At 38.2% G+C, this 25,853-nt stretch overlaps 2 protein-coding genes across 53 annotated transcripts in view, besides 1 other annotated feature; one reads left to right on the top strand and one right to left on the bottom strand.

The window, feature by feature from the left end:
- The window catches only part of EML5 (EMAP like 5), a 180,523-nt gene extending 157,472 nt beyond the window's left edge, over positions 1-23,051 (top strand). For 10 of the 24 annotated variants that reach the window (XM_017021066.3, XM_011536533.4, XM_017021064.3 and 7 more), the window contains 10 exons: positions 993-1,013; positions 7,663-7,836; positions 8,436-8,644; positions 10,355-10,512; positions 12,764-12,878; positions 14,181-14,369; positions 14,556-14,728; positions 16,670-16,832; positions 17,151-17,254; positions 18,603-20,625. In XM_017021066.3, the coding sequence (XP_016876555.1) occupies positions 993-1,013; positions 7,663-7,836; positions 8,436-8,644; positions 10,355-10,512; positions 12,764-12,878; positions 14,181-14,369; positions 14,556-14,728; positions 16,670-16,832; positions 17,151-17,254; positions 18,603-18,969 (1,673 nt within the window). In that variant the 3' untranslated portion in view covers positions 18,970-20,625. Of the gene's footprint in view, positions 1-992; positions 1,014-7,662; positions 7,837-8,435; positions 8,645-10,354; positions 10,513-12,763; positions 12,879-14,180; positions 14,370-14,555; positions 14,729-16,669; positions 16,833-17,150; positions 17,255-18,602 lie in introns of those variants that run through there. The other 14 variants (XM_047431057.1, NM_001411033.1, NM_001385116.1 and 11 more) reach the window with 11 other exon arrangements.
- The window catches only part of ZC3H14 (zinc finger CCCH-type containing 14), a 64,560-nt gene continuing 46,592 nt past the window's right edge, over positions 7,886-25,853 (bottom strand). For 15 of the 29 annotated variants that reach the window (NR_136936.2, NM_001326297.2, NM_001326301.2 and 12 more), the window contains 3 exons: positions 25,679-25,770; positions 24,542-24,648; positions 7,886-23,737 (listed from right to left, as the gene is read on the bottom strand). Coding sequence is in view for 28 of the 29 variants with exons in the window: in NM_001326297.2 (NP_001313226.1) it covers positions 23,731-23,737; positions 24,542-24,648; positions 25,679-25,770 (206 nt within the window). In the remaining variant the exon portion in view is untranslated. The remainder of the gene's footprint in view (positions 23,738-24,541; positions 24,649-25,678; positions 25,771-25,853) is intronic. The other 14 variants (NM_001326315.2, NM_001326303.2, NM_001160103.2 and 11 more) reach the window with 1 other exon arrangement.
- Positions 16,507-17,128: an enhancer, noted in NCBI's record as "OCT4-NANOG hESC enhancer chr14:89084698-89085319 (GRCh37/hg19 assembly coordinates)". NCBI's record gives its function as "activates a minimal SCP1, AML or CMV promoter by ChIP-STARR-seq in naive H9 embryonic stem cells {active_cell/tissue: H9 hESC(naive)}" and the evidence as "EXISTENCE:reporter gene assay evidence [ECO:0000049][PMID:30033119]".

Below are 25,853 nucleotides of genomic sequence, written 5' to 3'. Positions count from 1 at the left end.
CCCTGTTAATATTCAGAGACAAACCTAGTCTCTCCAGACCAAACACTCCCAGTCTTTCACCCAGGCTTCAGGTGGCAAAGTTCCAAGCCCTCTCACCATTTGGTTGTTAATAGAGCATATTCATAACTAAAAATGATATTTCCTATGTGGTCTGCTCAGCAGAGTTAAGTACTTTATTCTGTTTTTCCTCATGTTCCAGGTCAAGGCACTATGGTCCTATGTTATCAATATGTTTTTTAAATCATTATTTCATATGGATATAAAGCTTTACCAAAGCAAAAAACAATCACCTGTCTTCAATGGATTCCTATATTTTTATTTTCTTTCTTGTTCTAAAGACTGCTACTTTGAAAAGTTTGGTTATTAGGTATTTCTACCACAAATATAATGAGCATGAGCTTTCACATTTTCTTTCTTGGCAAACTTGTACTCATATGGAAAATCTTTAGTTGAAAGAAAGAACTTTTTTCCTTTCTTGAGTTATACAGTAAGCTTTGCCATCATGTCTCTCAGCTCAGAAGGTTTAGATCTAATTCTTCCCTGGAGACAGAGATGCATTAAAAGATGCATACGGAAAATCTTTAGTTGAAAGAAAGAACTTGTTTCCTTTCTTGAGTTATATAGTAACCTTTGCTGTCATTAAAACTCCAGAGAGTCTATTATTAGCAGTACATTTTTATAAACCAAAATGAGGGTAATATAATTTTAAATCATATCAGTATCATTTTAAAAGTTATTATAATTAAAAGTTTATGTAACTCATTAAATGCAAAGAAAACAAAATTTTTATCCAAAGGAAGATTGAAAGATCATACATAGCATGTTAATAAGTATGTATGATTGAAATGAGTGCCTTCTCTTACAGTTTACTCAATCAAATGTAATAAAACCAATTTTGTATATAATAGTTTAAATTATAATTAATATGATATTTGGGTTTTTACAGATTTTACAGATTTATGTTATTTATAGATAATTATTTTCCATTATAGGTGATTCAGCAGACATGTCAGGTAAGGAAAACTAAACATTTTCTGCTTTATTTATATTGTTTGGTAATGATAGTGCATATTAAACTTAAGTTCAAGTATATTAGTCCGTTCTTGCATTACTATTAAAGAACTGGGTAATTTACAAAGAAAATGTGTTTAATTGGCTCACAGCTCCACAGGCTGTACAGGAAATGGGGCTGGGGAGGCCTCAGGAAATTTACAATCATGGTGGAAGGCAAAGGGCTTGAGCAGGTATGTCCTGTATGGTGGAAGCAGGAGGAAGAGAGAGAAAGGGGAGGTACTACACGTTTAAACGAGCAGATCTCATGAGAACTCACAATCACAAGAACAGCAAGGGGGAAATCTGCCCCCATGATCCAATCACCTCCCACCAGGCCCCTTCTCCAACACTGGGGGTTACAATTCAATGTGCGATTTGGGCAGGGACATATATCCAAACCATATCATCAAGTATCTTGTTACTCTATAAAAAACTTGCGGATTTTTTTTAATGAAGAATACATTATTTTAATGTCATGATTCTGAACTCAATCTGTGGTAATAGTAATGGTTTTTTTTGGACAAGCATGGTAGCTCACACCTGTAATCCCAGTGCTTTGGAAGGCCAAGGTCTGAGGATCACTTGAGCCCAGGAGTTCAAGACCAGCCTGGGCAACATAGTGAGACCCTGTTCTCAGCACTGTTTTAAGCACTTTAATAAAAGTATAAGCATTTTAAATAAAAGCTTTATTTGACACGACCATGCTTATGAAGTTATATATGTTCTGTGGCAGCTTTTGTGCTACAATGGCAGAGGTGTGTAGTAGCTACAGAGGCTATAGATGACACTCATCTGTTTGCACTGCTTTTTGGTACTCTGCAAGTTCCAGTAACACAATTATAATTCACAGACTTTGAGCACTATCTGTTATCTCTTGTTATTTTATTTTGTTTTTTAACCAGTAAATCTCCATCATGTCAAGACAAGGGTACAAAAAACAAAAATAGTTTTTGAATATCACACTTTTAAGGCACAGTGAAGCATGGATTGTATTGTAATCAAATGAGATGACAGGTGGGGTATAGTGGCTCACACCTGTAATCCGAGCACTCTGGGAGGCTGAGACAGGAGTTCCGAGGCCAGGAGTTCAAGTCCAGCCTGGGCAACAGCAAGACCCTGTCTCTACAAAATAAATAAATAAATAAATAAAAACTAAAATACCTTGATGATTTGAGATGAGATGGCAAGAAATGTGTTAAAAACAATAAATGAGATGATGGCAATAAAACAAAGTATTTGTTTTTTCAGAGGTGGTAACATTCAGCTATGCCAGGAGTAGATAGCTGAGGCATGATCTGGGGGCTGCAGGCTCAGACCAGTTTCAGGGGTCCCAAGACTTCCCACACATTCAGCAGTTCACTAGGAGAAATCACAGGACTCAGAGGTACTTAAGGCTTTAGTTTATTACATTGAACAGAAAAGGGAAAAGACATATGAGGTGGAATCCGGAGCATCTAGTTACAGGGTTTCTATGTCTCTCCAACACCCTCATGCCAGGGATTACACAGAACCTGCTTCTTCCTCCAGCAGTCAAATCCAGCAACACACATGAGGTGTTTCTGCCTAGGCAAGCCTACTGAAGTCTCAGAGTCCAGAGTTTTTATTGGGGGTTGGTCACATAGGGATAAAGACCAGCCTTAACTACCAAAATACCAAACGCCCTGAAGAAAGCAAGTGTTCAGCGCCCCAGGTGGACAAAAGAGCTTTGTCAACATGGAGAACACTTCAGAAGTTCTTACACACTGGCCAAGAGCTAGCCCAGCAAGCAGGCCCTTCTGATGACAGTAACCTTGGGCCTTTGCACTGCTTTTTGGTACCCTGCAAGTACCCTGCTTATATTAAATCTTTCCTGCATAAACCCTGAGGCTGGATCAAGAAACTGGAAGGTCAGTGTGACTGGAGGAAGGCCTCTGAGATGAATGTAGAGAGGGATAGTGGTCATCTCATGCAGGATGCTGTAGCTCAGGGAGAAGAGTTTGGATTCATGCTAAGTGCAGAGGCTGTCACTGGAGAATTTTAGACAAGGGAGTGATATGACCGAATTTATACTTTGAGAAAACCACTCTCACTATATTATTGAGAATGTAGAGGGGGAAGAGAGAAAATTGGAAAATTAGGTGGCCGTTATAGTAGTCCAAGCAAAAAACAGTTAAGCAGGGTGGCAGGAGTGAATGTGGAGAGAACGAGACAAATATGGGGTGTATTCTGGAGTAAAGCCAGTTATCCTTTCTGATTAATTGGGTATGGGCGTATGACATAGTGAGGAATCAAGGCCAGTTGAACTTTTTGCTTGAACAGTGAGCCAAATGGGATGGGGAATACTTTGAGAGAAATCAGTTTGACAGGAAGAAATTATCCACAGATATAAGGAGTGAAATTTATTGGACATTCTTTCTTGTACAAATATAAGAAGACTGGTAGATTTGGGGATGGAAAAATAAGGAAGTACTGTCTGATGACTTCCATTTTCCCTGTATCATCAACTGAGATTGAGGAGGTGGGGAATGAGTATTAGGTTGGAACAAGGATAAAGATTTTAAATTGTCACTTTGCAATGTGGGAGAATAAATACATTAGAAGAGATATGAGCTGGGCGCAGTAGCTCACACCTGTAATCATAGCACTTTGGGTTTTTCTGTTTTGTTTTTTTCTTTTTTTGAGATGGAGTTTCACTCTTGTTGCCCAGGCTGGAGTGCAATGGCACAATCTCAGCTCACTGCAACCTCTGCCTCCCGGGTTCAAGCAATTCTCCTGCCTCAGCCTCCCAAGTAGCTGAGATTACAGGCGACTGCCACCACGCCCAGCTAACTTTTTGTATTTTTAGTAGAGATGGGGTTTCACCATGTTGGCTAGGCTGGTCTCGAACTCCTGACCTCAGGTTATCCACCCGCCTCAGCTTCTCAAAGTGCTGGGATTACAGGCGTGAGCCACCGTGCCCGGCAATCTTAGCACTTTGGGAGGCTGAAGTGGGTGGATTGCTTGAACTCAGGAGTTCAAGACCAGTGTGGGCAACATGGCAAACCCCATCTCTACAAAAATATACAAAACTTAGATGGGTGTGGTGGCATGTGCCTGTAGATCCAGCTACTCGGAAGGTTGAGGTAGGTAGATTAATTGAGCCCAGGAATTCGAGGCTGCGGTGTGTCATGATCACATCATGGCACTCCAGCCTGGATGACAGAGTGAGACCTTGTCTCAAAAAGAAAAAAGAAAAGTTAGCATTGAATACATTAGATATGTTTTCAGTGGACACTATGGGAATATCTTTTGTCTCTGATAAAGTAATTTCAGCCCTCCTAAGACTGCACCTCAGAATTTGATATTTTTGATCCTTAAGGCAATTAAGCAGAGAAAACTCACTCTCTGGTAGTATTTGTAGTGACAGGCAGTTGCCCATCAAATAACTTCAGTGGGTGTCTGCATTTTACAGCAGAGGATAAGGAAATTCCTTAGCACACAAGAATGAAGAGGGAGGGTAGCCTCCGGAGTGTGCTACTTCAGGAGTTTCATGATGTCATCCAGAACCCAGGGACTTTCCGTCTCTTCTGCTCTGCTATCCACAGTGTTGGCTTCACCGATAAGGCTGGTTGCATTTGTGGTCATGAAAATGGCTGCAGTAGCAATTGGAGTTATGTGCTTCCTTGCTGTTATCCAGTGGGAAAGAAGCAAAAAAATCCTTTTCAGAGCCATGACCTAAAAATCCTTCCGTTTAGCCTGACTGAGTCATTTTAGCCTGACTTTGCGTGAGGACACAAAGCAAACTGCGAACTGAGAAGATACTAGGGGAATACCATGTGCTGATTGGTTTAAGTCTGGGTTATTAAACTAATCACTGAGGTCTGGGTTGGGAGTGGAGGCAGTATTATCACAGTGGGCTCAGACTTATTAGTTGAGCATGCAGTTTGTTTCCCCTGAATCACTTACGCTCTAGGAAGGAGTAGATTCCTGAATAAAACTGGAGCCTTGGTAGGAAGAAAGGATGTAATGGATGCTGAGTATGCAGTAAGGAGTTACTCACTACAGAGACTAAAGGACAAAATACACTTGGCATACCTAATGACCCATGTTAAAATTTTCTTTTAAAATAAAGTTTTTATTAGGCCAGGCATGGTGGCTCATGCCTGTAATCCTAGCACTTTGGGAGGCCAAGGCAGGCAGATCACCTGAGGCCGGGAGTTCAAGACCAGCCTGACCAACATGGAGAAACCCCATCTCTACTAAAAATACAGAATTAGCTAGGCATGGTGGCAGGTGCCTGTAATCCCAGCTACTCTGGAGGCTGAGGCAGGATAATCACTTGAACCCCAGAGGCAGAGGTTGCAGTGAGCCGAGATCATGCCATTGCACTCCAGCCTGGGCAACAAGAGCGAAACTCCATCTCAAAAAAAAAAAAAAAAAAAAAAAATACAGTTTTTATTATACTGCATCAAAGGCAAACTAGGGGATAAAGAATATCCTTTAAAACTTTGATTCTTGTAAGACCCAATTAAAAATTTAAAGAGACACTTATGGCATCTCTATACTGGAAACTAAGAGTGAAAAACGGTAGTGAAAAGTTACTGGGATTGATTTTCTGGAGGGAGCTACATGTGGGGAAAAGAGCAAGAGTGGAACCTGGATACTGAGAACAGCATACCTGTGCTGCCTCTCCCAGCTCTGAGTTGTATTAGGGCAAGTCAGTTATCTTCTCTGAGGCTGAATTCAGGAAAAAACGTACCTACCTAGAAGGTAAGCATTAGAAAATATGCGATGTCCCCAGTAACATGCCTGCCATGATAGGTACTTAATACCTCATGGCCTCCTGGAACAGGTGGAGGAAGAATTGTTTATGTGTTACCCAAGCATCAGGAATGACCATTTCCAAATGATAGGAGAAAATATAATATACTTAATAAACATAGTTTCATCTTTAGTAACTTCGAGAGGTCCTGAAAATTTGCAGTAATTTTAGTTTTAAATACTGTTACTGATGTAAGTTTAGAACAGTCTAAGTGTGTGACAATTCCATTACCTTACGTACCTATACGTTTTAAAACATAAATTCTGGTTTCACCTTCTTGCCATCTCCTTTAATTTTTTATAAAAATATGAGAAGCTCAGTCATTGAATTTAAGATTACTTGCTATTTAAATTTAGATAAATAAAACTTTAAAACTTGTGGCATATTAAATTTGGAGGCAAAGTTAGTGATATTTCTTGAAAATCTATTGTCTACCTCATCATGATTTGGCAAATATAACATGTGAATTGCCTAGAGGTGCATTTTGTAAACATATAAAAATATTTATATAATATTTATCACTGGCAAAATGTATAGAGTGATCTGGTATATATTTACATTTTAAATTTAAGCCACCTAACATTCTTTATTGAGGTTAAGTTTACCTATGCCTTGGGGTACTTTGACTTTTAATGAATGAATAATATATTAATTTTAGTTCAATACTGACATTATTGTCATAAATTTTACAAACATAAATAACCTATTTTATTATATGATAAACTTTTATGTATGTTTCCGTGTAGTTTTGATATTTTACAGTTGCATAAATCTTTGAACAATTTCTACTTAATGATACTCTAAGTCTCTGGTTTAATATATTTTAACTGCTTTGAAGAACTGCCAGATTTAATTTATCATTGTGTATTACAAATAGCAGATGGTATAAAATATAATCTAAACTTATCAGAATATTTTCTTTAGAGACCAACATTTATTTCTGCATTGAATGATTTAAGGCAGCTTGTCTTAATGTTTCTCTATTTTTAAAACATTTATAACATTTATAATTTGAAGCAAATGCACTTTAGTATTTTTATTGCTTCATTAAAAGTACTTATGTTCTGAGATTGAATTAACTGCTGAATTGACCTATCCATTTTTATAGGGTGCAGTTCATAAAAAAGAAAATATAAAACTATAATTTTTTTAATTTAGAAAATATGGAGAACTGGGATAATTTTTTAAGCAGCAGAAACAAGCTACACAAGATTAATAATAACCACATTTTTTTAAAGATTAGCAGTTTTATCTTTCTCATGAAATCCTTTTTAAGTAAATGTCTTATAAAGTGATATGAACTTAGCTTTTTACCAGATGTCTATCTGTATGGTTGAAAATTTCTTTTGAGATCTATTCAGGTGGTTTCCTATCTACTGCCTTTGTCTATTTGTGTCTGCTTTTCACTTCTCTTTCAGATAACATCAGTACTGAATGTATACTTGGTGTTTAATATTTATTGTTTAATATTTGTATAGTTCTCCATATAATTGTATAAAGATTAAAAGTATACATAAAACATGCATTTGTTTTGAATTGTTTAAAGTTGAGATTGCCTGATTTGCTTGTCTAAATGCTGTTTTTCCAAAAGTGCAATTTGGAATATGGCCTGAAGAAGTGTTCTATATATTTTCCTTTTCTTTCCTCCCCACCCCCAAAACTCCTTTTCCTTTCTTAAATTTAGCCTTAGTTTTGAGCTGTTCTTTGTTAAGTACAGTTTTTGTTTGGTACACATTTGTCCATGTTTCACAGATGAATATGCATAAGCTTTAGAAACAGAAATATTTATAACAGGTAGATTACAACTTTTTGATACTATCTTTATTTAGCTACAGCTCCTTCTATTCACATCTGGGATGCAATGAACAAGCAGACTTTATCTATCCTAAGATGCTACCATTCAAAGGGAGTATGTTCAGTCAGCTTCAGTGCTACTGGCAAACTATTGCTGTCTGTGGGACTAGACCCAGAACATACTATTACCATTTGGAGATGGCAGGAAGGTAGGATTCTTTTGTGTGTTTGATTTTTAAAAAAACAAGAATACAAAGGTAGTAGGAATTCTGTATTTAATATTTGTCTTAAAGTTGGTGGTTGAAACAATCATTCAGTGGAGGCCTATGCAATATACTGTACACAGTGGTACTGTAGGTATATTTCACTTTAAAAGCCCAGTGGAACTGTAACCTCACAAAACAGATAAATTAATGAAACCATTATTAGCATTATAAATGATTCACTGCTATTTTCTTCCAGCAAGAAACTATGTATTTATTATTAATGATTTGATTGGTTTTGGAGATTCTTATGAAAATTATGTATATTTCTAATGATAATGGCAGATCAGCAGGATAATATTACCTACCACACTTTAGACAAAACATTTACGTTATATAAAGAAAAGTTAATGGAGCGAAGATAAGTGAAAAGGACTCAATACACAAATAATTGTAAATCATGTATTGCTAGGTAGTAGAGCAGGGGCCATTGGCCTCTCTTCTAAGCCTTTGTTTTTTGAACTATGTATTTTACATATTTGTTTGATGCTGTTGATTAGCTTGGTTCTTGTAATAACCTAGATAATTTTGTTGTATCTTGTCAGGTGCCAAAATTGCCAGCAGAGCTGGTCACAATCAACGTATTTTTGTGGCAGAATTCCGACCAGATTCAGATACCCAGTTTGTCTCAGTGGGAGTAAAACATGTGAAGTTCTGGACCCTGGCAGGAAGAGCTCTTCTTAGCAAAAAAGGGCTACTGAGCACACTGGAAGATGCCCGGATGCAGACCATGCTCGCTATTGCATTTGGTGCAGTATGTCTCTTAAAATGCACATAGTGTGACTTTGACTACTTTACATTCTCTTGCCTTAGATCATCAGCCACATGAATGTTGTTGAGATGATACTGTGATCTGCTAATCATTACATGCCCTGGTCAAGCATATATTTCATCTTTCAAAAATCTAGTTCTTTCAGAAATTAGGGAGTGAAAAGAATGTTAATGAGAGGGGGAAAAGGATTTTTTTTTTTTTTTGACACAGTATCTCACTCTGTCGCCTGGGCTGGGGTGCAATGGTGCGATTATAGCTCACTGTAGCCTCCATCTCCCAGGTTCAAGTGATCCTCAGCCTCCTTAGTAGCTGGGACTACAGGGCAGGAACCACCATGCTAGGCTAATTTTTCTTTCATTTTTAGTAGAGACAGGGTTTCGCTATGTTGCCTAGGTGGTCTCAAGCTCCTAAGCTATGTGATCCTCCCATCTTGACCTCCCAAAGTGCTGGGTTTACAGGCATGAGCCACCATAATAAGGATTCTGATGAACATTTGATTCCTTGGACTACTGTTATACTCAAAAGCCTTCCTTAATCTTCTAATTGTCACCCTAAATATCCTAAAATTTCTGTCTTCCTAGTAGTTCTTCATAGTCCTAAAAATTTGTCAGAGAGAAAGGTAAATCAAGAAACATGATTTTCAAATGATTTAAGGTGGTACTAGGGTTTAGGATTTCCTTTGCTTTTTATCATTTAACACACTGCTTATCATACAGCTGGAAGTGCTCTGGGCCAGTGTCTCTACTTCGAGGGAAGAAGGAGGTAGTGAGACAGAAGGAAATAGCACAATTCCTGGCCCTGACAGAAGGGTGTTCAGGAGACCTGCTCTCCTCTCACTTTATTCCATCTCATCTGGACCTGTGGCTTCCAATCCACATCTCTTTCCTTTAATATCCTGCATTGGCTAGGCTGTATAAATCCTTTGGTGCATCGAAAAACTAAGTGCATTTTTTGTTTTTGTGATTATGCAATACTTATAGGAAAAGTTATAATTTTAGAATATTTAAGTACACTTACATTTTTGAGAAAAAGACTATTGAAATGTTTGTGCCATGTCAAATTTCAGTTGAACATTTTGGGTATTCTTAATATAAGACCAGGCCAGGCACCGTGGCTCAGGCCGGGCACAGTGGCTCACACCTATAATCCCAGCACTTAGGGAGGCCAAGGCGGGAAGATCACCTGAAGTCAGGAGTTCAAGACCAGCCTGGCTAACAAGGTGAAACTCTGTCTCTACTAAAAATACAAAAATTAGCCGGGCGTGGTGGCTGGCGCTTGTAATCCCAGCTACTTGGGAGGCTGAGACAGGAGAATCACTTGAACCTGGGAAGCAGAGGTTGTGGTGAGCTGAGATCGCACCATTGCACTCCAGCCTGGGCAACAAAGAGCGAAACTCCGTCTCAAAAAAATAAAAAATAAACCCTAGAATTATAGTATGTTAGAATTGGAAGGGAAGAATTGTCTAAGGTTATTCTAGCTAATAAGCAACAGACTTGGAAAGGAAAAGGTCCTGACAAAGCTAAGCCTCCCGTTCAGGTTTCCTGACTCGTGAATTCAGTGCTGCTGCCACTACACGATGCATGCTCTTTGTATCAAGGGTGAGACAGCATTACACATACATAGAAAATTATCTATTTAAACTCTATTTGAACTTTTGATGAGTTTGTCTCCCCCTCCCCCACTCCTTTTCAGAATAACTTGACGTTTACAGGTACCATCAGTGGTGATGTCTGTGTGTGGAAAGATCACATATTGTGTAGAATCGTGGCGAGAGCTCACAACGGGCCTGTGTTTGCCATGTACACCACCCTGCGAGATGGACTTATCGTGACTGGGGGAAAGGAAAGGCCGTGAGTCCTCTTTCTTTTCACAGAATATTTATGCATTTGTGACCTACCTGAGGTTTGCAGTTAATTATTCTAGTTGTTTCTAGGCTACACAGAGTGTCCTCTCCGACCTTCCTCCTCATATGCTTCTCCTTTATTACCTTTTATGTGCCTTCTATTTGATTCTCATTTCTGGTCTTAATTCACTTCCAATTTTTTTCATGTTGGGGTGATACTTTTTCTGAGGTGTGGATAGGTAGTTGTCCTACAAGTTGAGTTACTTTTCTTAATGTCTGTATGCCTGTGTATGATTTGCTGAGTAGGAGGCCCATGGGGGAATCTGGAGCCAGGGTTGTATTTTGACTGCCTGCTCTCTTTTTGTTCAGAATGGATTCTAAGGAGTAGAATGCACATTGTTGCTTTAGAAAAGGATGAGGGAACTAGAGAGAACTGCCTTGTTTCCTTTTGCTTGAGGCAAATTTAAACTGTTTTATACAAGACCTCAAAATTTGAGAAGAGGTCTCTTCTGAGTGATTTTCAAATCTCCCAACAGTAACCAGATACTTATGATTTGATTTGTCACCAACATAGTCATATGCATGTTGAAACATGACATGTAGGCCAGGCACAGTGGCTCACACCTGTAATCTTATCACTTTGGGAGGCTGAGGCAGGTGGATCGCTTGAGCCCAGGAGTTCAAGACCAGCCTGGGCAACATGGTGAAACCCCATCGCTATAAAAAACAACAATTAGCCGGGTGTGGTGGCACATGCCTGTAGTCCCTGCTACTCAGGAGGCTGAGGTGGGAGGATCACTTGAGCCTGGGGAGGTCAAGGCTTTAGTGAGCTGTGATGGTGCCACTGCACTCCAGCCTGGGTGACAGAGTGAGACCCCATTTAAAAAACAAAAACAAAAACAAAAAAAAATGTGACATATAGTTGACTAAGAAGTACATTTCAATACAGGATTGAAAGAACCCACATATGTTAATTAAACACAAGCGCAGAATTTGTGCCTTTTACATAAAGGAAGAATGCACATAGGCATGCTTTCAGACAAGCAATTCATCTAGCAGAAAAGGAAGGAATACATTTTTCAGCCCTTCCAGGAATAAAATCCATAAATGGGCTCTATTTCGTCCTCCAACACTTGTATTTCCCACGTCATTTACTCCTGCACACCCCCACTCACTAGAAGCCTGCTAAACTGTTCCAGTGAGATATTTTAACACCTGATAGGGAATAAATATGCTTCTGTTTTGGCCTTCAAAAATAAGCTCTGGGCCAGTTGCAGTGGCTCACGCCTGTAATCCCAACACTTTGGGAGGCCGAGGTGGGCGGATCACGAGGTCAGGAGTTTGGGATCAGCCTGGCCAATATGGTGAAACTCCATCTCTACTAAAAATACAAAAATTAGCCAGGCATGGTGCCTGTAATCCCAGCTACTTGGGAGGCTGAAGGAGAAGAATCGCTTGAACCTGGGAGGCACAGGTTGCAGTGAGCCGAGATCACACCACTGCACTCCAGGCCAGGTGACAGAGCGACACTCTGTCTCAAAAAAATAAATAAATCAACTCTGTAGCATAGCATTTGTAATTCTATTATTTTGCCTTACATTTCCATTATCCTTTTAATAAAATTGTTTTTTTACATCTTCCTAATCAAGAAGTATTATGAGGCCAGGCACAGTGGCTCATACCTGGAATCCCAGCACTTTGGGAGGCCGAGGCAGGCAGATCACCTGAGGTCAAGGTATTTGAGACCAGCCTGGCCAACATGGTGAAACCCCATCTCTACTAAAAATACAGAAATTAGCTGGGTGTGGTGGTGCACACCTGTAATGCTAGCTACTCGGGAGGCTGAGGTAGGAGAATCGCTTGAACCTGGGAGGCAGAGGTTGCAATAAGCCTAGATCATGCCACTGCACTCAAGCCTGGGAGACAGAGCGAGACTACATCTTAAAAAAAAAAAAAAAAGTATTATGAGAGAGGATAATGTATTGTAATGTATTGTAGAGGCTAAATAAAATTATGCTCATGTCAGAAAAAAAGAGTATTTCTCAAAATAAAATTCACTGAAACTGGATGTTTATTTTGACTGAGATATAGTATATCCTCAAATTGCCATAGAAAGTTTACAAGAATATTAGAGGTAAATTATAAATATCAGGGCCTTTTTAAAAAAAAAAGATTCTGCTTATAACTTGGTATTTGTTTATAATAAAAATTATAGTAGCCAATAATGAACACTTACTCTGGCTTGGTTATTTACTTAGGTCAAAAGAAGGAGGAGCGGTTAAACTGTGGGATCAGGAACTGAGGCGGTGCCGTGCCTTCAGGCTTGAGACAGGACAAGCCACAGATTGTGTTCGTTCTGTGTGCAGAGGCAAAGTAAGATGTTCCATGAGCTGATACAGTGCAGCAGAAAACAGAAAGTGGTTATTACTGTGATTCCCTCACCCTTTGCAGCCTAATGAACAATACTTAATAATGCATAACGATGGATTTGCTTGCCAACATTACTCTGTCTTTGCTGCTTTCTTTGCCAAAGTTAGCACCAGTGTGGTGCATAAGCTAGGAAGCTATTCTGTCTAAATACTGTATGTAAACCTCCAATATTTTCTAGAATCTGCCAATTTAACAACTCTAGTAGACATAATTGAAAGCCCTTGGCAGTTGACTCATATTAGGACAGCTGTCTCCATTTTTTAAAAAAACACACATTCCCTAGATAAAACGTGCAGTAAACAAACAATGAAATACTACTCAGCCATAAAAAATAATGAAATTCTGTCATTCTTGGTGGCAACATGGATGAGACTGGAGGACATGATGTGAAGTGAAATAAGCCAGGCACAGAAAGATAAATACATGTTCTCACTCCTGTGCAGAAACTAAAAAAGTTGATCCCACAGAGGTGGAGAGTAGAATAGTGGTTACTGGAGGCGGACAAGGGGGAGGGGGAGGGGGATAGGGAAGGACTGGTTAAAGGATACAAGTTTACACAGCCAGATAGGAATAGTATGTTTTAGTATTCTGTAGTACTGTAGGATGACTATAGTTAAGAATCACGTATTTATGTATTTTCAGGTATTTACAAGAGAGGATTTTGAAAGTTTCCATCACAAAGAAATGATAAATGTCTGAGGTGATGGTTATGCGTATTACCCTATGCCCTATAGATATGTATAATTATGTGTCAATTTCAAAATAAAAATTCAAAACTACAACTCCTATGAAAATTTTTGAGCGTGTTTGTACTTATTAAGTGTATTTATAAATCATACGGATATTATCTTCAGCCTGCATATTAAATTGTAGTTAAGCTTTTACTTTTTAACTAAAAAATAAATTCTATTATTTTTTCCTATATCCCACTGCACTGACCCCAGTTTGGAAATCCTAAGATTATCAAATAAAAACTTTGATTATTGAAGAATCCAGGTGTACTGCCACAGAAAAGTTCTATTCTGTAGCATGGACTCTAATATGTAATCTAGCCCATTGTGCTTACAGATAGATGTGTGCCTGTAGTCATAGAAAAATTTGCATGAGCTAATGACTGCCTTGCTACTAGATTAGCTCAAAGCAAAAAGTTCTCTGAAAGCAGGTCAATAGGGTCATTTTTATATTATGAAGAAGAAAAGCAGCTGTTGTATTACATTCACTGTATTGGTCCTGCTTGTGTTTCAGGGCAAGATCCTTGTTGGGACAAGGAATGCTGAAATAATCGAAGTTGGAGAGAAAAATGCAGCTTGTAATATTTTAGTTAACGGTCATGTGGATGGGCCAATCTGGGGACTAGCAACACATCCTTCCAGGGATTTTTTCCTTTCTGCTGCAGAAGATGGGACAGTGAGACTTTGGGATATTGCTGATAAAGTAAGTACAGATAATTTTTTTAAAAGAGGTTACAACTTCTAAAAAGAAAAGTTGGAAGTTCTAAATTGCTAGTACTTAAAGAACTGCCAGAATTCTGTTGAGCATTTTGAGGGGAAACTGGTATAATTTAGAAGTACTTCACTTAATGTTTCCTATGACTCTTTTTTTTTTTTTTTTTAAATGCAGAAGATGTTAAACAAAGTGAATTTGGGACATGCTGCTCGTACTGTGTGTTACAGCCCTGAAGGGGACATGGTGGCTATTGGAATGAAAAATGGAGAATTTATCATTTTACTAGTGAGTTCTCTAAAAATATGGGGAAAGAAGAGAGACAGGAGATGTGCAATCCATGATATCAGGTTAGTGAACAAATGGAATAGAGTTTCTAGTATATACTTGATTTAACTTCCATTTGTAAAATTTTCCATAGCCTTGCCTTCAAAAAGAGGTCCCCAGGGCCTGTAGCATTTCCCGTATTATAAATTGTATGCTAAAATATGGCTGTTTGTATACTACTTAATTCTTCTTGCTAAATTATAAACCCACTGGGCACCAACTATAATAGCAAGTACTAGTAGGTAATGTTTGATGAATTCATGTTAACACTTAGCCATGTCCATTAAGTTCATCCCACCAAGAGGTATCTCCCACTGTAATACAAGAGAGCTATCTGCCCTTCAAAAGTTGTCACCCTGGAAAACTAAAGTTGTGATTTCAAACATATCTTCTCTTAGTAACCTCAGTTTGGGAATATGTAGTTCATTAATTTAATCAATACCTATTGATTAAATGTTCCAGAATCCAAATTAATTTAAATGTTTCTTAAACCTTTGTTTTTCAGTGCTTAAGCATTTTTCAACAGTGGCTACCATTTACGGAGTACTTCCGTGTGATCAGTAGATAAGATTATTGAATCTAGGTCTGTCAAAAGCTTGTACACTTTTCATCAGTAAAATCCTTTTACAAATGAAACCTTCCTCAGAACTTCAATATATAAAATAGTAACAGTGGCTTCCCTTAGCTTTTACATGTCTCTATCGTACCTCAGTAAGACTCATGGGCCATTTCAAGAGACTGAATTGTCCCATATGACTCCAAAGATTGCTAGGCAAATAGCATTTCACTTTGTCTTTTAAATAAGTTCTTCAGGCCGGGCGCGGTGGCTCATGCCTGTAATCCCAGCACTTTGGGAGGCCGAGGCAGGCAGATCACCTGAAGTCAGGAGTACTCGACCAGCCTGGCCAACATAGTGAAACCCCATCTCAACTAAAAATACAAAAATCAGCCGGGCGTGGTGGCAGGCGCCTGTAATCCCAGCTACTCAGGGGGCTGAAACAGGAGAATCGCTTGAACCCGGGAGGCGGAGGTTGCGCCATCGCACTCCAGCCTGGGAGACAAGAGCGAGACTTCGTCTCAAAAAAAAAAAATTCTTCTTCCAAGATTCAAGTTGTGTCATTTCACCTTAATAACTGGAGGTTAGTTAAGCTGGGCTGTGTTCTTTGCTTAATATTAAGACAACGTTTTTTCCAGATGGAAGAAAACTATCTTAATGAATTGTTAGCTTATTAATTATGTAATGCTAATGGCTTTTAAAAGCTGAGATGTTCTGACTGGGTGTTGTGGCTCACACCTGTAATCCCAGTACCTTGGGAGGCCAAGGGGGAAGGATTGCTTGAGGCCAGGAGTTTGGGACCATAGTGAGACCCCGCCTCTATTTAAAAAATTAAATTTTGTTTTGTTTTGTTTTGAGTTGGAGTTTTGCTCTTGTTGCCCATGCTGAAGTGCAATGGTGCAATCTCAGCTCACCACAACCTGTGCCTCCTGGGTTCAAGCGATTCTCCTGCTTCAGCCTCCCGAGTAGATGGGATTACAGGCGTGCACCACCATGCCTGGCTAATTTTGTATTTTTAGTAGAGACAGGGTTTCTCTATGTTGGTCAGGCTGGTCTCAAACTCTCGACCTCAGGTGATCTGCCCGCCTCCGCTTCCCAAAGTTCTGGGATTATAGGTGTGAGCCACTGGGCCTGGCCTAAGAAAGTTTTTTTAAGCCATTAGACGTTTTTAAAGGAATTGGGAGATGACAATTGGGGAAATATTTAAAATTTAAGTAAAATATAAAGCTTCCTTATTTCATGTAACCCAGACAATCTCAGTATACATGATCAGTTGTGTCTGACAGGTAAATCTATTTGAGGCCTTATCACACGTTACTTTTAAGAACTAGAAAGGAAAAGTCACTGATCTTAAGTATTTATAATACTTCATGTGGTCTAATACTTTTTACGTTTTGTTTTGATTCAGATTTAGTCCGGATTCCCGGTATCTGGCAGTAGGTTCTAGTGAGAACTCAGTGGATTTTTATGACCTAACGCTGGGCCCCACTCTTAACAGAATCAGCTACTGCAAAGACATTCCAAGCTTTGTCATTCAAATGGACTTCTCTGCAGATAGCAGTTATCTCCAGGTACAGTACCAATACTGTATACCCAGGTGGCAAGTTCTTCTGCTTTTACATTTCGTGTTAGTGAATGCATTTAAAGTTCCTGAGCTCCAGAGCTCCAGCTTCTCAACTCCTCCCTTTGTACCTTCTGACCTACAGCTCCCCTTTCCTCCCCCACTTATCAGAGCTTTTCTCCTATTAAGTTTTTGTAGTGATCTTTTGCATACTTAATAATGTTAGACATGTAAATCAAGTAGCAATATGCTAGTATTCTGTAAACCCCCTGTGGATTTTGTCTCTCACCTAATGGAATTCTTGTCCCATTTTAATCTGATGAAAAAGGTCTCTAGTGGCTGCTATAAACGGCATGTCTATGAAGTGCCTTCAGGAAAACATCTTATGGATCATGCCGCTATTGACAGAATTACTTGGGCTACATGGACTAGGTAAATACTTATATATTCACAAGGCAAGAACTGACTTTGAAGGCCAGTTAGAAAATCCTATTTCTGAACTGTTAGAGCCATTCCAATAAGGAATAGTAATTGAGTTTCAAGTTTTTGTTACCATATTTTGAAATGGTATGTTCATGTTGGGACCCCTTTTTATTGAATATATTTCCATGTTTTATCAGTTTCCATGATTTATCAAGTTTTTTTTTTAAGGAAATCAAAGTTTTAACTTTAAAGATACCCTGATATTTTTCTTAATGCTAAATTTAATGACTGGCAAAAAGGTATTGGGTGCTGTTAAGCAACTGTTATTAATTCTCTATCTAAAGGAATGCTATCTTGAATCTATTAGAAGTCAAAGCTTCCAAATTTGTTCAAATTTCCTGGCTGTATGACAGGTAACCATGACTATCCATTTTTTTGGCCAATGAAAAATGCCATCAAATTCCTGTATCAGCCAGGCATATAGTGGCTCATGCCTGTAATCTCTGATGTAGCAGGCCGAGGTGGGAGGATCACTTGAGCCTAGAAGTTTTGATACCAGCCTGGGCAACATAGCAAGACCCCATCTCTGAAATTTTTTTAATTCCTATGTCATAAGTCATTTTTATTTTTGTAGAGATAGGGATCTCACAATATTGCCCAGGCTGGTCTCAAACTCTTGGCCTCAAGCAGTCCTCCTGCCTCAGCCTCCCAAAATGTTGGGATTACTGGTATGTGCTGCTGGACCCAGCCAAGTAGCACTTTTAATTTGAAAAATAGTTCTATCAGTTTTCAGTCAGGCGCGGTGGCTCAGCCTGTAATCCCAGCACTTTGGGAGGCCGAGCGGGGGTGATCACCTGAGGTCGGGAGTTCGAGACTAGCCTGACCAACATGGAGAAACCCTGTCTCTACTAAAAATACAAAATAAGCCGGGCATGTTAGCGCATGCCTGTGATCCCAGCTACTCGGGAGGCTGAGGCAGGAGAATTGCTTGAACCCAGGAGGCAGAGGTTGCGGTGAGCCGAGATCATGCCATTGCACTCCAGCCTGGGTAACAAGAGCGAAAACTCCGTCTCAAAAAAAAAAAAAGAAAAAATAGTTCTATCAGTTTTCATAAAGTACTACTTTAATCTTAAAAAGATTAATCTAGAAACCCTTCAAATTATAAAATGTCATTTTTAAAAGGCAGGAGTTGATATCCTGATGAAATTCAGGTCTCCAAACAACTTACCATAATTTACTTCCTGTATTTTAAGTAACATGATAGGGTACTTAGAGATTAATTGCCAAGAAACTTTTTGAATATAGTCAACCTGCCCGCACTTGCCATGATGAGTTTTCTTTTGTTCCTTCCCTCTAGTATTCTAGGAGATGAGGTTTTGGGAATCTGGTCCAGACATGCTGAGAAAGCTGATGTCAACTGTGCCTGTGTATCTCATTCAGGAATCAGTCTTGTTACAGGAGATGACTTTGGCATGGTTAAGTTATTTGACTTCCCATGTCCAGAAAAATTTGTAAGTTTGTGTTTTGTTTACTATTATCAGTTTACTCCTAATTTTGATGTCTTATCATCAGCACTTTTCCCCATATATTTAAAATGTTTTGTCCTAATTTCTAAATTTTTCCCCAAACTTTCTAAATCTATTTACTTTGAAATAAAAGCTATTAGAAACAAATCCTCTCCCTCGAGTAATACCATCTTTGGAACCATCCTACAAAAGCTGTAATTAGCTTTTCACCAAACCTATAATCAGTTATCAAATTTCAAATGCTTTTCCTTAGAGAAAAATGGTCAGAGTACCTGGAGACATCTGACTGCCCACACAGCCTGGTTTTGCAGATCCACTACTCATGCTGAAAAGCATTCTAATCACTGGCTGCGGTGCTAACTCCCTACTCTCTCCACAGCTCTTGTCATAGAGATTATAGTTCCTAATAAGAGCCTTTGACTTCTGTGTGCACCAAATGCCCTGAGCTTGTCTGTCATTGTTTTTTAGGCAAAACACAAAAGGTTCTTGGGTCATTCGCCCCATGTGACAAATATTCGATTTACCAGTGGTGATCGACATGTTGTTAGTGCTGGAGGTGATGACTGCAGGTTAGTAACTTTCTCAGCCCATGAAGAGCAGACTATGTTACTAGTTAAGAGACTTAATACAACAACTCCTACAGCTTTGGTTTATGAAATCAGCTAGTCAACATTAGTAGAAGGTAGTATAACCAGATGGCTCTTCAGAATCTCATATTTATGCAAATACAGAATAAAAGGAGTTAAAGAGGAAAAATATTACACATGTAACCTGAAAGCACAACTGAAAAATATTAAACTGTTATGAAAATCTAAAAACATAATTAACTCCCTGCAATTTTCTTCTCTGATTGCAGCTTATTTGTCTGGAAATGTGTACATACACCTCACTGAGAGATGCTGAGATGACTACAGAAATTAACTTTGAGACCAGAATTACAGAGAAGAAAAACCAAAACCCAACCCTGCATGGTCAAGTGGTGCTAACCCAAGACTGTAACAGGGAGAAATGCCCAGAATCATCAAAATAGTGAAAGACTGATCTGTTCAAAATATTTGCTATATGCACTGGGTATAATCCGTAATCCATACACTGCCAGATAATGCCATTTCAAGGAAGGATCGAATACTTGATGGTAAAGGCCAAGTCCCCCTGTATTGGGAAGTGTGTGATTTCGGCAGACCTGCTGGGAAAATTTAGGGTAGAGCACTCTTTACAGAAGAACTCAAAAACCCAATTTGGATAATTTTCATTATCTTTTTAGCAAAATGGTTTCTTAATGTTTATATTTTATTTTCAAGGTTCATTGTTTAATGAAATATTTTATTCTTGCATTTCCATAAGGAAAGGGAAAGTCATGATCATCCTAAAGGATCACAGTTTTTAAAAGGCAAACATTTTCCCTAAGGAAACAGACACAAGCTTTCCTAGAGAATATGATGTTTTTTAGGCATTAATAAGGTCCTTTTTTATAAAGGACACTTTTCTCCTAGTAGTTTTGAATTCAGGAACAGATCCAAAGTTAGCAGTATATGGCTGCTACATTTCCATTTTCATTTTCGAGCCATCAGTTTATGTTCAGATGCCATCTCTGTAATCGCACATTTAAAACATAACTGTAGCCTCACTAATGGAAAAGTAGTATGATGAACAATCATTCCCAATGGTGTACAATGTAAGGGTTTTAGGGAGCAACAGTATTTAACTGGAAGAAAGAATTGCATATTTAATGTAGTCTAATATATACACATTTGTTTAACATGTAAACAAAAGTGTTAAATTCACATATACAACATTATACAATTTAATCACTCTTGGAATAAAATTTTTATAGCCTTTTTTCTATTGGGAAAATTTGTTTAGATGTGTGCCACTCCATAGGTTTATTTCCAAAATGAATGAGCCCAACTCCATTTGTAAAAACTTGTCAGTTAGAATTCCTTTTTTTAGTGGATTAGGGCTGAATTCTTAGATCCTTATTTCTTTTCACTTTAAATGCTGCCAAAGATCACTACTCATCATTCAGGAATTCGCTGTCTAGCCTATCTGTAGTTTCCTGAAGATTGAAAATTATGTAGACTGCTATTTAAAAATATATTTTTCTAAGTGTGAGGTTTAAGATGCTGTATTGACCCTATGAGTTTTTAATGTGTTAATTATCTTTATAGCATAATAGATCGCTTTAGGTTCCTGGAATCCCATTTGGTCTGACAGGATATATGAAGATTCTTAATACCTATTTTCTGTGTCTAATACTTGGTTAATACTAAAAATAGAAATGACTAAATTACATCACAGAAAGCATAACCAGTGATTGAACCTGGTAGTTTTAAAGCTCTAAATAGCTGTGGCTGAAGGACTGATTATGGGGCTAAGAAGCTTGAAACGTAAGTTGGTACTTGTTCATCAGTGGATTCTCCTAAATTAAGCCAAATTTTGAAATACATGACTATTAAGTTTCTACTCATGTATTTACAGTCAGTCAATAAATTAAAGGAGGAAAAAAATCCCTGAACAACCTGCCCATAAAAAGAAAAATACTCTACATTTGAGCCTGCTGCAGTTTTAAATTTTCCCTCTGGGTCAAGTTTGCCAGCTTTTGGCTACAGAGAAATTATATTTCCATTACAGTGCAGGTAGAAACTCTGTAACCTTAAGCATGTAAACTACATAGAATAAAACTGTTTCCACTGCATTTCTGTCCTTCAAAGTGGCCAACCTGATTAAGTCAGCCTTAATCACTGCTGCTGTCAGTTTCACGACTAAAGGTCATATTGACTAAGTAGTCATCAGCTGACCACCTCGCTGTATCAGCCAGCAACGAGGGGAAGGTGAAGAAACATGATAGGCCATATAGAATCTGCCCTATGTTTACTTTTTTAACCCAGATAATTATTTTTGTGTGCAGTATCTAAGCTCCTGATTGTGTAACCTGGGACTTCTGGCACCTTTTGTTCCATTCATTTTATGTATAAAATGCATGCCAAAGCACACTGTGCCCTCTGGTACCCTTGCTTCCAATCGCCAACCATGCTCATTTCCTTCCTTTTTTTGTGGTCCCTTTTTGTGGTGATCATTTTAAACCACGTCATCCAACAAATGTTTTATGGTCAACCTTAGCTTGTTCATAAGCCATAGCAACTGAAAGATTAAACTCTTAAATATGTGTCTGGGCAGTGGCTATTAAATAGCAAAAAACAATCAGATTTTAGTATTTTATTATTTCCTTGTAAAATGGCTGAACTAAATTAAACCCTTGTTTCCCATTTGTTCTATAATTTATAGTGAAACTGAGAACAAAACTATCTTTATAAATGATAGCTAAAAGTATTTCCAGATATTTAAACAATTTAAAATAAATTTCTTCTGCAGAGATGCAAAGCATCTCAACACTGGAATGAACAAATGCCTTAAATTCAATGGAGTAAACCTTTAGAATGAAGAGGAACTGTCATTTCACCCAAGCCGAAGACAACAGCCTTATGCACTTGTGTGCTCTGTCTTTGCTGCTTCTCGTGTTTCAAGCCTTTCCTGTGGGATCAGCACAGCAAAGTGCAACTTACCAAATGGTTTAATGACTGGTTAATTCTTTCTTCTCCCAATGGAAAAGCAATGGCAACACAACAGTAGACTGCTGGCTTGACAATCTTAAACGTGAGCCTTTGCACATGTAGGTTTATCATCATTTGAGTATACGACTAAGCAAGTCAATGAACTTTTTTTTTTTTTTTAGCAGTTTAATTTGGTCCTGAGAATGTTGCAGTCTTTATTACCCCTTTTGCATTAATCCACTTTTCTAACCACCTTTTAAGCTTTAATTTTTAACACTATACACCAAGTCTTTGAAATCAGTGATCTGTTATTTAACTCTAAAGCATTTGACACTTCTTGCCTTAACAGTTTTAAAAACCACACACAAAAAAACTCTGTAAGTAATACAGTAGGCCAAAAGTTTCATCCTATCTATCTTGCAGTTTACCTATCTGATCTGATCTCTGTAATTATAGTTCTGTCATTTAAAATATACTATTTAAATCTAATTTTTACATTTCAAAAATTATCTTCAGTAGTAACTAAGTATATTTTCTGTGGATTCTGAGAATGTTATTTTTCAGAATGTGAGAATATATATGTACATTTATAATCTTGTGACTTTAAAGTCTGTTTTCAGATACAGTATGTAAATACTTGTAAAAAAATTTGTATAATTTTGTGATAATGTAGTTTCCCAAAAAAATTATTTAGAAGGCATTATGTTATTAGTAAATGAGAGCACTGTATAGAACTGTTCCTATTTTCTGCACTTGCCATTCCAGCTGCCTCCACTGTCCATACCCACCTCATTCATCCTGTCACAGAAGGCAGGAAAACTGGGAACTTTACCAAAGTAGCACTCAGCCTGAGAGGCCTGTATAATCATGCTTTTCAAACTAAATTCACTTAAAAATTAAAAAGCAGAATTGAATATTTTAAGCAGCCTCAGTACCTTTGGCCAATGCTGTTTTCATGGTGGATTATGAACATTATATAATCTTTGGGAAAAGTGAAAGTAGTACAATTTTTAGAATAATGACAACTGCCTCACTGCATCTCTCCACTCACACAGCAACCGTGTAGCCCCCTAAGCTGCAGTACCATGACTAACCATGATGTCAATTTCATATGCTGATCCTCACAACAGCAGTGCACAAACATGCCCCAAATATTTTAACAGAATTTAGCTCTTCCTTAAGCTGTCTTTTCATAGTAAAAACAAAACAAAAACACCCAATGTTAAAACCACATAATAAACTTACAAACTTGAAAAATTAGACACTTCAGATAGATAGGCAATAAAACTTCATATTATGAAAGCAATATATTCCAAGTTTCAAAGATTTGACAAGTTCTGTAGAGTATCTTTCATCAGTACATGAAAACTTCCAAACTGCATGATCTTCTGCCAGGCAGGACTGGGTGCTATTCGCTGAATGAACAGAACCAAAAATTGTTTTAATTATCTGCTTTGTATCCATATATACCATATATCTCAGTTTAAAAAGTTGACTAGTTTTAAGCAATAAATATTTGGTCATAAGATTACAATATAAATGGCAGATTTTTAAAAATAATTCAATTATGTCAGGTAGATAAAAGATAATACCATATGTAATTAAATTTTCTGGCCACACTAAAATATTTTGAAACTTCCTTTCAGTATCTCCCAGTTGCTAATGTCGAAGAAAATGGATGTGAAATTCAAGTACAGTACACATATATATACTCCTGCTGGCCTTAGTATATGTTTGCGTAGTATATAATGAGAAGTTAAAATCTGGCTGGGTGTGGTGGCTCATGCCTGTAATCCTGGTACTTTGGAAGGCCACGGTGGAAGGATATCGCTTCAGCTCAGGAGTTCAAGACCCCATCTCTACTTAAAATAAAAAAAATTAGCCAGGTATAGAGGCACACGCTTGTAGTCTCAGCTACAGGTGGGAGGATGGATTGAACCCAGGGGTTTGAGGCTGCAGTGAGCTATGATAGTGTGACTGCACTCCAACCTGGGCAACAGAGCAAGATAATCTAGGTTAAAAAAGTAACCACTGGATAATGTAAAATTTAGCCCATGTAGTAAATTATTTTGCCAAAGGAGCCTTCTATAATTAAACAGCAAAGAAAAAAATTCAAAGTAACAGTCTAGTTTCCAATTTTGTGTGCTTATAAATTTAGAAACTGCAAATTAGAAAAAAGAATTTGAACTGACATGAGAAAAACGAATTTGAATGTTTACCTGGTTTGAGGTCGAATCCATTTCAAGGCATGTCGTGGTGGGACATTAATGGTGGGATGGTAGAATGTGCAGTCCGGTCTTGTACATTGAGTGTTAAACCTACAATGCTGAATAGAGATAACAGAGCTTCAACAATATCCACAAGGCTAATATAAGTAAACACATTATTTTATTATTTGAGACAGGGTCTCACTCTGTCACCCAGGCTGGAGTGAAGTGGCATGACCTCTTGCCTCAGTCTCCCGAGTAGCTGGGACTACAGGCGTGTGCTACCAAGCCTGTTTTTTTTTTTTTTAAGAGATGGGGTCTCTTAAATGTTGCCTAGGCTGGTTTCAAACTCCCGGGCTCAAACGATCCTTCCACTTCTGCCTCTACCTCCCAAAGTACTAGGATAGCAGGCCTGACCCACCTCACCTGGCCAACATACAACTTAGGAGACAATAACCAGCCCACCCTAACCATTAACAGAGTAAGAGATTCCATCTATAAGGACCATTTTAATACTAGTGAAGCCTTGAAAAATGGACTTAACCTTGAGACACAAAATTCTAGTCAAAGAATCACAGCAAGTACAATTTCAAAAGGTAGTTTAGCATACCACAAAAACTTCTAATTATCCCTTACACTCTTCACTGAGTACCCTCATCTACGCCCAGTTACAGATGGGGGCAAGTGAAGGCCTTCATATGGTCCTCAAGCTACCGGGGCAAGAAGGAGATAATTCATTTTGACCAACTAAACATCTGGAGATTCATCAACCATCATCAGTACAAGTTTGGATGGTTTTAAGCAGTACCTACTGGATTTCTTCATCTCAGTTCTGACATTAGGTTCAAACTGCCCCCCAGCCCCCGCTAAAACCCATCCATATACTTAAATGCAGGGAATAATGGAAAATGTGACTAGCAAAGATATGCTTCCCCCCACTGAGTGCTTGGGATACTAACATTGAACAGTTTCAGACCACTTGGCCTAAGGGGCCAGATGGAGGTTCAGTGACGAGGAACAACTTAATAGTTTTACTGGCAAAAATCGCAATTACTTTTGCACCAATGTAGTAACTCTGACAAAAAAGAAGTTAAATGAGGAAATTGAGATGTTGTCACTAAATTGATTTGAGAAAATAGAAGTTCTTACTTTTGGATGATAGAAGGGACATTCCATCTTCTTACAAGCAGGGAAGTAACGGCAGAGCTGACTACTGGAAGGTGGTGCTGGTGGTGCAACTGCTAACAAAATAAAAACCAGGACTGATCTCCAATCTGTTTGGAAAACCCATTTTTAATGCAGTCTACTGATGTTTTTTTTGAAA

The sequence above is a fragment of the Homo sapiens genome, chromosome 14 (assembly GCF_000001405.40).
Source record: "Homo sapiens chromosome 14, GRCh38.p14 Primary Assembly".
Lineage (NCBI taxonomy): Eukaryota > Metazoa > Chordata > Mammalia > Primates > Hominidae > Homo > Homo sapiens.
The sequence above is the reverse complement of the archived record's forward strand: the minus strand, read 5'-3'. Positions and strand labels throughout refer to the sequence as shown.